This window comes from Homo sapiens, chromosome 9, assembly GCF_000001405.40.
Source record: "Homo sapiens chromosome 9, GRCh38.p14 Primary Assembly".
Lineage (NCBI taxonomy): Eukaryota > Metazoa > Chordata > Mammalia > Primates > Hominidae > Homo > Homo sapiens.
The window spans coordinates 2,384,297-2,396,977 of NC_000009.12; the positions used below are offsets into that span (position 1 = coordinate 2,384,297).

Sequence of the window (12,681 nt, forward strand, 5' to 3'; positions counted from 1 at the left end):
CCCCTACACTATGTCCCAGAGAAAACCCAGTAGTGGTGGGTATATTTTCTCATTGTCTATTCTCTGTTCACACACATTTGTTTTGTTTTACTTATTCTTGATGTTCTCAAGTGCTATCCTTTTTTTTTCTTGTTGTACAAGTAATATATGCTCATAGGAAAAGTAAAATTTAGAACATGAGCAAAAGAAGAAAATAAAAATCATCTCAAAATCTACCTTTCCTAAACTTTAGTCATTGTTTACATTTTTGTGTATACCACAAAGACATTTTTCAAGTACTTCAATTTAAACAGAAAAGGATAAATACCACGAACAAATCTCAATAGATTTGTTAAAAGCTCAATCCAGTTTGGGTTATGTATACAAGACATCTACATGTGGCTTTATTTTTGTCTTGACTCAAAAGGGGAGAAAGGGTAAAGGAGTTTTCACAGCTTAATATTATCACAGAATCAGCATTTAGGGAAATTTGTCATTTTCTTCCCATCTCTTCACTTCCAGCTCCATCATCCCCTTCCCCCCTCCAAGAGCTTTTCAGAGAATGTGACATTTGCTGCCTTTTCATCCCTCAGAGTTGTGGTTTAGATTTGTTTTTTTTTTTAAAATCAGATTAAAGCAAAACGTACTTAATAGCACTTCCAGGTCAGAAGTGCAATTTCTTGCTTGAGAGCAGGGTGATGTCCTCACTGGCATTTAAGAGGCAGATCTCTGTTGAGCCTCTCATAACACCCAGAATTACAGTCTTGAATTTTCCACACACATCTTGTCAGGAAAATGTTTCAGGGGCATTAAATAATTACTACTGATTTACACCAACATTTTTCTGGCTATAAATATTTGTTACTTAAACATTTTCGGAAAATAAAGAAAATATAGGAATGAAAATCAAAGTCATCCATAATTCCACTTCCTTGTGATAATCATTGTTACTTAACATTTTAGTGTGTTTCCTGTCAAACTTGCTTTTATGTGTATATATATATATATACACACACACATTTTAATCACAATCTATACGTGATTTCAACGGCTATATGGACTTTTATGTTATAGCAACTACTATTGTGAATGCTATTGTTTAAATAAAAATTTTAAAACTCAGCCACATTAAAAAAATCTCTCACCAAGTATTAACACGTCTTTCATCAGTTTATTCCTATCCTGATTACCTTGATTCAATTATTCTTATGCTCCTCATCTTGGCTTGTAGCCAAAACCCTAGAGCCCCCAGGTAGGGTTTCAAAGACCTCAATAGACTCTCCCTTCCATCTTTCAGACACAGACTTTAATTTTTTGTTTTTTGTCTTACTCACAGTTTTGGGAGGTTCATTTTGTTTTTCTTCTGCTTTTTAGCAACACCAGCCAATCAAAGGTGTGTTTGCCTTTGCAGGGGTCCCATTAAACTTCTAGTTCCAAAATGAACTGCCTCCATGCCATGACCTGCAAGGTGGCAGAAAATAGGGAAAGCTTAGCTTATCTCTGGTCTCTTTATCTCTCAATTACCTATTTAATCCCAACAAATTTTATTGCGTGTCTATGAACCACAGGTTTCTGTAGGCACAGGGCTACAGCAGTAATTAAGGTCCCTACCAGCCTGGTGCCTCCTGTCCAAAACGCTGTGCTGCTTATTCCACTGTAAGCTGCTTAAAAGCAAGATCTATGTCTGTCCCATCTGCGCATCCATCAGCTCCTGGCAAAGTTCCTCTGTCACGGTAGTAACTTAATTCAACAGCAATTGGCCAAATTAGGGAGTGAAAAGCATATTGCTTAAGAAAATAAATCAGTTGGGCCGGTAACAGTGGCTCACGCCTGTAATCCCTGCACTTTGGGAGTCCGAGGCAGGTGGATCACGAGGTCAAAAGTTCGAGACCAGCCTGGCCAACATAGTGAAACCCCGTTTCTACTAAGAATACAAAAATTAGCCAGGTATCGTGGCATGTGCCTGTAATCCCAGCTACTCGGGAGGCTAAGGCAGGAGAATCGCTTGAACCCGGAAGGCAGAGGTTGCAGTGAGCCGAGATTGCGCCACTGCAGTCCAGCCTGGGCGACAGAGCAAGACTCCGTCTCAAAAGAAATCAGTTTTGCCACAATCTTCATAGATTTATTTCTTTGAATGTGGGCAAATCAGTTCTGGTAAAAATACAAACCTCTCTAGCAGGAGTAACATATGAAAAACGTCTCAGCCATTAATAGGTTAGTGAGAATACATTTTCCGGCCAACTGACTTCCAAATTTGAAACGGGAGAGAAAAAGGAGAGAACGTCTGCTTTGGATCATGAAGGGGTGTTTGGGACAAATATGGGAGTAATTTGGAAAACCCAGGGATCAAAATGTGGTGCCTATGAGGGTCAAGGTGAGGGACAAGAGAACTTAGAGAATCAACTTTACAAATTTCACAATTTCTATTCAAAATTCTTACAAAAAGACAGAAACCAGAAAATATGAGATATGTTTTCAAAGAGCTTCCAGCAGTAACTAAGGAAGTGACAAATCACATGCCTGGATCCATTTGGGAGCTGGGAGACAAAGACAAAGTGAATGAAGTTTCTTCCCCTCCAATCCCACTGCAAAGATCCTGCCCTACAAACACATATCCTCACATTGTAGTATATTTTCAGATTTACAGAAAGTAACCTAGTGGGAAATTCTCTTTTAAGCAATATTTAGCTGCTTGAAGTCTTGGTTTTATGAAAGCCAGAATGTTGGCAAACTGAGAAATATGATCAATGGGGTAGAAGCCACAGCTTGGAGGTAAGCTGAAATGTGATGGCCTTTTAAATAGTCCCTGTAATTTCTCCTTAATTGAGATCCTATTTGTTAATCATTCATGTAAACGTTAACGGAAAACATGCAGAATCAATTTGCAAGTACTGGCATTCATTTAAAAATCTATAAAGGTAATTTTACTATAGTGACAAAAACACACAATTCACAATTACAGACCCTAAATATATATAGTTTTTAAATTTGGAACTGAATTGACGTGAGAACTAAGAGTATTTAAAAAACTAAGTAGAACAAATTTCAGGCAGTATCTGGTAAATTTCCAGAGGATTTATTGACTTGCCAACTTAAAACTGGAGTTTCTTAGATTTTACGTTCCTTTTGGAAGTGTTTGACCGTCTTTGGCTGGTTTGTAGCCTTTCGTTTCAAGTGGCCTTATCTCAGTGTCCAAAGCAAGAAAACAGATAATGAAAGAAAAGCAACATCTAGAATTTTCTAGAAGACATATATGCATGTACATTCATTCACACAGGTATGATAGACAAGCAACACAAATAGTTTTATATTGCATTTATTAAAATAACTTAACATAGTTTAAGTAGGGTACCTATTTAGAGCATCAGACTATCTAAAATTCATATTTAATTACTTTGTTTCCCTACTTTAAAAATATTATAGGGATCCCCATTGAATTTGGATTAAAGTTTAAATAAATGGCATACTATATCCATCATAATTTATTATTTAGCCTTATCTCCTAGGCAACCACCATCCTTACCATGAGCCCTAGGTGCCCTTCTTTTCCTGGCACAAAGGGCACTTCCTTCAGAAAGTCTACCCTGAATTTCCATATTGGGCCTAGGGCCTCTTCTCTCTATTCCCCCATTACAGTCTGTATAGCTGTCTTATTCATTAATGTTACTAATTATACTATAATAATAGTAATTAATATTATTCAATAGTAATCTGGTTCCATGTCAGTCTTTTTCTCCAAACTGTATGTTCTCCAAGTATGTGGACACAATGGCTCTAGGACATAGCCCCTCAAAGTGTAAGTTCAAAATAATTACTTGTTAAACTGAATAGAACTACATTTATTAAAACACTTATTGTATATAAGTGGATAAACACTACCCAAGTGGAGTGGACACTAAGACGATCTTCCCAACACTGGGCAAATTCTCATTTGGATAGGCCACCTGTCAACATGTACACCTGAGCTACAATAAAGAAGGACTGGGGACAGGGCAGAACTGGAACTGACAGGTGCCATGTTTTTCTGTTTCTTCTCTTGTGTCTTGCCCTTTTATCTCTCCTGCTTCCTGTACCATTTTTCACCTCAACACACATGCACTCTCAGGTACCCACCACGGTAAAATGGTCAACTGCTCATTAGACCAACTCTTGTCTTGAAAGTGGGAAGGATTTAAAGGCTGACTGGCTTATATGCAGAGCTGGCTTAGATTAGGGGGTACATTTAAATACCTTCAAGAGCTAAGGAGGAGAGGTAACTATGTGAAGAGTATTTGTATTAGTCCATTTTCATGCCGCTGATAAAGACATACCCGAGACTCGGCAATTTACAATAGAAAGAGGTTTAATTGAGCTAACAGTTCCACATGGCCGCAGAGGCTTCACAATCATGGCAGAATGCAAGGAGGAGCAAGTCACATCTTACATGGATGGTGGCAGGCAAAGAGAGAGCTTGTGCATGGGAACTCTCATTTTTAAAACCATCAGATCTTGTGAGACTTATTCACTATCATAAGAACAGTGCAGGAAAAACCCATCCCCATAATTCAATCATCTCCCACTGGATTCCTCCCATGACACGTGAGAATTGTGGGAGTTACAATTCAAGATGAGATTTGGGTGGGGACACAGCCAAACCATATCAGCATTGAACTCAGATTAAAAAAACAAAAATGTTTGCAAACCAAGCCAAATAGGACTGACTATATTTCACTGGCTGGCTGCTAGTTTGGGACCTCTGGCTTTAACTATTAGTGAAGCTCCAACAGTGGACTCAGGAGCCAACGGCTGGGAATTCACATCACAAATGTAAAGAATTTTAAGGCAGAATGCATTGAAAGAAAGAAAAATGAGGCCCTGGCATAAATATGGTTGAAAAGATATGCCTCCTACATATCAAATAACCTTCTGTTGAAGGTGGTGGTGAAACACACACAAATACATACCATCTCAAAGACCAAGGCTTCTGGGCCCACATGCTTGTAGATCCAATCATGCTGGTTCTCTCTTTTGTTAATTCTTGATTGTCTATGTTTTTTTATAGGGCATCATATGTAAGCTGAATGGGCTAGACATTGGGATGGAGAAATGAATAGAAATGATTACTGTCCTCAATGACTTAATGGGATTGTAAAGGAAGACAGACATTTATATTTTAAAATGTACTAAAATGTTAGAGGGAATAGTAAGGTCTACAGAAGAGTGTCATTTCCACCTTAAGAAGCCTCCCTGAGGGGATAAGCCTTCTGCTGAATTTTTACAGATGAATGAAGTTTACTAAGGAGATGGGGGGGAGGGCACACAGAGACAGAAGTTTGAACACAGTTGCTTAAGCATGAAAATGCCTTAGAAGAATGTGGGGGAACTATGAGTAGTTATGCAGAGCATTAGAAATGTAGAGAATGATAAAAACTAGAAAAGCAAACAGAAAACAGATAATGCAGGCCTTAGAGTTCAGGCTACAGATTTTGAACTCTATTCTATTTTTTTTTTTAAATGAGACTATTTGAAAGTGTGGCAGTATAATTTTATGATTATTAATTTGCATTTTCCATTTATACCTATCCAATCCACTGCAGTTTCCTTTCAAGAAGACAGCCTGAGCTTTTCTCTTCCCTTGCCCTGGAGCTTTGGCAGGGCCAAAGGAGAAGTTGTTGGAAGAACAACGTTCTTTGTGCATGTGTTCAAAGACTCTGTCTTTGGGGGAGATTGTGCTCACTATCCTGGCTGGGGAGAAGAGAGAGAAGAATGCCTGGGAGCAAGACAAAGACTCTGTCTTTGGGTGAGATTGTGCTCAGTATCCTGGCTGGGGAGAGAAGAGAGAAGAATGCCTGGGAGCGAGAGACAGGAGAGAGAGACGTTTCTTCAGGTAGAGAAGGGACTAAGGTTGGCAGTTCACCAAGGAGTCAGGGATGCGAACCTGGTGACCTAGATAGTGAGAACTCAGAGAGGTGATTCAGAGAAGCCTGCCCCAGGCACTGCTGCTTCTTGCTAGGCAAATGCCTCAGTTGGCACAGTAGCTATAGAGATGTCAACACGTCAGATGCCATGTAGGTTTGGAAAGTGAGGCTATCAGTGGCATCTATGACAGCACATTAGAAGCTATGTTCATTTTTTATGGGCATCATGTAAGGTTTCTGGACTACTCTAGGCAGAGGGAAGAACTCCCATTAAGTACTGATGGAATTTTCTGCCAGCTATAAAAATTGGGTCTTAGAGTTAGATTTAATTTGATTTTTAAAAATGTGATATCTTTAAAATCTGTAGGATAAAATGTATGTATTCACCACAAAGTCTTTTATAAAGGAAAATAACATGAATGGGCTTGAGTTGTGACAGGATAATGTTCGAGAAAATTCACCTGGCATCCATGAACTTTATTGCAATTTGGGAATCAGATTTTTCCAGAAACTGAAAAAGGTGGATGAGGGACCAAAGGTAAAACCCACAAAAGAAACAGAATGTCAGTCTTTAAGAAAGGTCAGCCCCTCCCAGATGGAAGAAGTATATTCTAAAGTCTGTGCTTAAGGAATGAGAGCTCAGAAATGGAGACCAGCATTGGTCCCACTCTCAACAGCTAAGGAAATGATGACACTAGTGCAGCCTTCTCCACATCAGTTCAATCTTACAGACATCTGTGTCCACTAAAATACATTTTAAAAGTCTTACATGTGATAATGGATCTAAAAAAAAGCACCACAGTGTCCTAATCTATTTTCTGTTGCTATCACAGTATATCATAGACTTGGTAATTTATAAGAAAAAAAAGTTACTTAACTCACATCTAAAGACTAGGAAGTTTAAGACCATGGTGCCTGCATCTGGTAAGGGCCTTCTTGCTGCATCATAAGATGGCAGAGAGCACAAGGAAGACAGCCAGTGAGAGTTCACTTTTATAACAAAGTCACTCCTGTGATAACAAAGCCATTCCTGTGATAGTGACATTTATCCACTTGTGAGGGGCAGAGCCCTCACTAATCCACTAATCCACTCATGAGGGCAAAGAGATTAAGATTCCAATACATGAACTTTTAGGGGACACATTTAAACAATAACACTTAGTATTATTGGATCCAATCCATGCTTTCAGGGATAAAGTACTGTTATTCCTATTTTAGAGCTAAAAATATGAAATCCCAAAGAGATTACAATTTTTTAATTAAATTATTTTTTCAATAAATATGGACTGAGTTCCACCATATTCCAGACACTCTGATAAGAAGAGTTTGGAGAATTCTAATGATGGGAAACAAATATATAAGTAAGTATTTATTACATATATTGATAAGTGGTATAGCATGTTTTCCACTTTTCCTTTGAAGTGTGTCTTCCCCACATAACCTTGTATCTCTGAGAACTTTTCACTCTCTGCTCAGTACTGACCTCTGGCAGACATATTTTTGTGATTTAATGCAACATTCTTCTTTTAATTGATTGTGTCTGGCATCATCACTAAACTGAAGAGTAGCCAGCTAAATTCTCTCTTCAGACAATTTAGAATTGGGCTTGAGAAACAGTCAGTCTGAGCTGGTCTCTCAAGTCACAGACAGTTCTAGTTAATGATTTATTTCTATGAATTTCATCAAAACTTTTAAATTAATCACATAAAGTTGTTCAGAATAACTTATCTTTTTAATATCTGTAGCATCTCTGGTGGTGACCTCTCTCATTCCTAATATTGGTTATTTGTGCCTTATCTCTTTTTTTTCCAGATTGCCCTTGCCAGAGATTTGTTAATTATATTAGCTTTAAAATAAAACAACATTTGGTTTTTTCATCTTCTTTATTTGTTTTTGTTTCTATTTAATTAAATTCTGTTCTTATCTTTATGATTTCATTTCTTCTATTTCTTTGGGTTTATTTTACTGTTTTTCTTTCTGAAGTTTTGAGATGGATACTTTGCTCATTAATTTTTAACCTATCTTCTTCTCTAATACAAGCATACAAGGCTATACATTTCTAGGTACTGTTAAAATTGCCTCCTGTATGGTATGAAACTGTTTTGTTAGAATTAAGTTGAAAAGGTTTCTAATTTCCCTTGTAGTTCTGCTTTGAACTTTGGGCTATTGAGAAGAATATTTCCTAATTTACAAATATATAGAAAAATTTCCAGATATCTTTTTGTTACTGACTTCTGGCTTTATTTCACTCTGGTCAGAAAACACAGTTTTAAATGCTCGGAAATTTGTGAAGACATGCCCAGACTATGGTCAATTTTTGTGAATGTTACATGGTTGTTTATAAAAAACAAAGGTATTCTTCAATTCTTGAGTACTATATTCTATAAATATGCATTAAGTCAAATTTCTTAACCATGTTGATCTTCCATATAGTTGGAGCTTTGCTTTTTGCTTTTTATTTTGGTCCTTTTTGTTTTGCAAATTCCCAAATGAGGTGTAATGTTAAAAACCTCCCAATATGATGATAGATTTTCTTATTTCTCTTTAGATTTTGTTTTTTTCTGTTGGGAACAGGCCCCCCAAAATCTGGCCATAAGCTGGCCCCAAAACTGGCCATAAAAAAATTCTCTGCAGCACTGTGACATGTTCATGATGGCCATGATGCCCACACTGGAAGGTTGTGGGTTTACCGGAATAAGGGCAAGGAACACCTGGCCCACCCAGGGCGGAAAACCGCTTAAAGGCGTTCTTAAACCACAAACAATAGCATGAGTGATCTGTGCCTTAAGGACACGCTCCTGCTGCAGATAACTAGTCAAACCCATCCCTTTATTTTGGCCCATCCCTTTATTTCCCATAAGGAATACTTTTAGTTAATCTATAATCTATAGAAACAATGCTTATCACTGGCTTGCTGTCAGTAAGTACGTGGGTAAATCTCTGTTCCAGGCTCTCAGTTCTGAAGGCTGTGAGACCTCTGATTTCCCACTCCACACCTCTATATTTCTGTATATTAAATGTATATTTGATTTAAAGATAATTTTGTCTAATATGAATATACTTACACACTTTTTTCTGATTGTTGTTTATATGATACATATTTTCTATTCTTTAACTTTTTAACCTTCTATATCCTTTTATTTTGGGTGCATCTCATAAATAATACATACTTGGATTTTATTTTTTAGTAACCCAGTATGACAATCTTTCTTTTTTAACTAGAGTAATTGGTTCATTTACAATGAATATAATTAGTCACATACTCAGATTTATGTACCATCTTATTGTGTGTTATTTATCTTCATCTGTTTTGTTTCTTTTTGTCTTCATTTCTGCCTTCTTTTGTATTAACTAAGCATTTTATTCTTATTTCCTTTTGTTCCTGAACTTCCTTCAAGGTTATATACTCTACTCATTTAATGTGTAGGCTACAATTTACAATATACATATCTATTTACCTTATCAAAATTAAATTTAATCAATACCTTTACCATTTCCCTTACAATATTTTGGAACTTATTAATTCAAGTAAGTACTACCATCTCCCAACTAAAATGTTATTTTATATCGTCAATTTTTTTGAATGTTTTACATACTACTACTTTCTTTTCTATTCTTTCCTACTTGCATATAATACTTTCCATTTTAGGTCACTCTTTTCAGACTAATGAGCATCCTTTAAAATGTCCTTTAGTGAATATCTATCAGTGACAAACTTTCAAATTTTTGTTAGAATTAAGTTTAAAAGGTTTCTAAACCTTTTGTTAGAATTAAGTTGAAAAGGTTTAAAACCTTTTCAGGAGGTGAATTAGAAACCTTTTCAACTTAATTCTAACAAAACAGTTTCATACCATACAGGAGGCAATTTTAACAGTACTTAGAAATTTATAGCCTTGTATGCTTGTATTAGAGAAGAAGATAGGTTAAAAATTAATGAGCAAAGCATCCATTTCAAAACTTCAAAAAGAAAAACTGTAAAATAAACCCAAAGAAATAGAAGAAATGAAATCATAAAGATAAGAACAGAATTTAATTAAATAGAAACAAAAACAAAGAAGATGAAAAAACCAAATGTTGTTTTATTTTAAAGCTAATGTAATTAACAAATCTCTGGCAAGGGCAATCTGGAAAACAAGAGATAAGGCACAAATAACCAATATTAGGAATGAGAGAGGTCACCACCAGAGATGCTACAGTTATTAAAAACATAAGTTATTCTGAACAACTTTATGTGATTAATTTAAAAGTTTTGATGAAATTCATAGAAATATATCATTAACTAGAACTGTCTTTGACTTGAGAGACCAGCTCAGACTATTTCTCAAGCCCAATTCTAAATTCCCTGAAGAGAGAATTTAGCTGGCCACTCTTCAGTTTAGTGATGATGCCAGACACAATCAATTAAAAGAAGAATGTTGCATTAAATCACAAAAATATGTCTGCCAGAGGTTAGTACTGAGCAGAGAGTGAAAAATTTTGTTTCCCTTACTGTTGAAAGACATTGTAGATTGGTAAAGAATTCTAAGATTGGACATTATTATTTTTCTGCACCTTAAGGACATTGCTCCACTGTATTCTAGCTTTGATTTTTATTGTTCCTAGTCAGCTGTCACTCTGTTACTCCTAGAGGGTAATATATAATTTTTCTCTGGATGTTTTCAGATCTTATCTTTGTCTTTAGTATCTTACAGTATTTCTATGCTGTGCCTCAGTGTAGATTTATTTTTATGCATTCTGTTTGGAATTCACTGGGCTTCTCAAAAACAAGAACAAACTATAGATTAGGCATTCCATCAATTGTGGAAAGTATCCCATCATTATACTTTCAAATATTGTCACTATCAGATTCTCTTTCCTTTCTTCCCTGAAATAGAATTAAAAATGTTTTTTATGTATTTTAAGCTTTCTTAAGTTTTTCTTCAAGTCTTTTAATCTCACCTTCCTTTTCCTATTTTATATTCTCTCTATACTTCATTGTGGATTTTTTTTTCACATTTATCTTCCAGTTAATTAACACTCTCTTCAGCTATAACTAATTTACTGTTTAACCTGATGACTACGTTTTAAAATTTCAAGTATTATATTTTTCACTTCCAGAATTCAGTATGGTTCTTTTGAATATCTTCTTGGTTATTCTTTATAGTTTTTTTGTTCCCTATAGGTAGTTTTAATTTTATATCTTATAATTTAATCAGAGTAGGCCTATTTATTTACATTGTGTCTGTTAATGCCAACATCTGAAATATTTAAACATCTTTGCTGTTATTGCTGTTCTTCTTTTTCATGAAGCATTATTTGCTTATGTGCTTAAATTTTTGTGTTTGTTGCATACTTTCCTTGGAAAATTCATTTCTAGGAATTCTTTTAAGATTGTGATAAAGGCACATTTTTCTCAGAGAATTTGCTTTTCTTTTGCTATGAATCCGTAAGTCCTACCAATTTGAGATCCTTTTTTTTTTTTTTTAAGAGGAAGATAATGGTTGTGATTTCTTTGGACAACCTGGGTGATTTTAGGCTTCAAATCTGCATAAAGTAGTTTACTTCTTACCTGTTCTTATTTGAAAGTATAGTCATTGGGGGTGTTCTGGCATTATAGGAGATTACACATTAGACTTCCTAACTTGAGAAGGTCTGGCCATTATCTTCTATCCCTATTGTATGTGATCTCAAAATACTTAGACTCAAGTTTATCATATGTGGAAAGTGACATCAGCGAAATGGCAGAATATTTTCTCTGGCTCCAGTCTAGAGAAATTGAACTAGCAACTAACCACAGACAAGAGTACCTTCGTGAATATCCCTGAATGTGTGAGAGAGGCTGAGACACCCACTTGGACCACAGAACTGAGAAAGGTACATTCAAAAAGTAAGAGTTTTCACTTTGACTACATCATCTTTCCCTCAAGCCAGCACAGCATCACCCAGCACATCACTCCTGGGCCCATGGTTTCTACAGTGGGAAAAGAGAGTGGGAAGTAGAAATTCAGTTTCCTCACCATTTCCCCCATGAGAAACATTGAAAGTTTTGTTGGGGCTAGACTAGGTGGGTTCAGTTAAAAAACAAAGAATAAGGGTAAGGCTCACAGCAACCAATGTGCAAATCTTGGCAGTGGCTCTGCATTATGGCAAAAGAAGGCATTCCACTAGAAAAACTAGCCAATAGCAGCACTCCAGAAGAAGCACAGCTGACAAGTCTGCCAGACTCCAGTCCCTACTTAGCTTCTCCACCCAGCCCTGGTGCTCTGCATAAACCTTCTCTAGATTGGGGGAAAGTGCACATTCATGAATATCTGTAGAAGGGAACATCTGGCCATGCCAAACTCCAGTGGCTGAGCAGCAATCCTACATACCTCTGGTGCTTTTCTTAAGCCTTTCTCAGGCAAGGAGGCAAGTGCAGGTCCTGGAATATCTGTGGAGGGGTGCAACTGGCCTGAACAATGCCAGTAGCTGAGTAGCAACCTCACTTAGCCCCCAGTGCTCCCATTAAGTCATCCCTAGGCAAGGAGGCAAGGGCAGATTGCAGATTAGTGACTATCTGTGGAGGGAAGCATCTTGCTTCGCCCAACCTCTGGCCCAGCACATCCCAAGTGGCCAAGGGACAACACCATCAATCTTCAGTGCTCTCTTTAAGCCTTCCCCAGACAGGGAGTCATGTACAGGACCTGGAATATCTGCAGAGGAAATCATCTGACCCAACATAGTTTCAGCAGCTATGTAGTGCCCCACCAAGTATTGGCACTCTGCTTTAGACTTTCCTGGGCCAGAAGGCAAGTGCAGGTCAGCAATTACCTGCAAAGAAAAGTAT

The 12,681-nt window shown here is 36.8% G+C and overlaps 1 long non-coding RNA gene across 1 annotated transcript in view; it reads right to left on the minus strand.

The window, feature by feature from the left end:
- Positions 1–858: 858 nt before the first annotated feature.
- The window catches only part of LOC101930053 (uncharacterized), a 121,382-nt gene continuing 109,559 nt past the window's right edge, over positions 859–12,681 (minus strand). The window contains exon 6 of the long non-coding RNA XR_001746603.2: positions 859–1,440. This is a non-coding gene — a long non-coding RNA (uncharacterized LOC101930053). The remainder of the gene's footprint in view (positions 1,441–12,681) is intronic.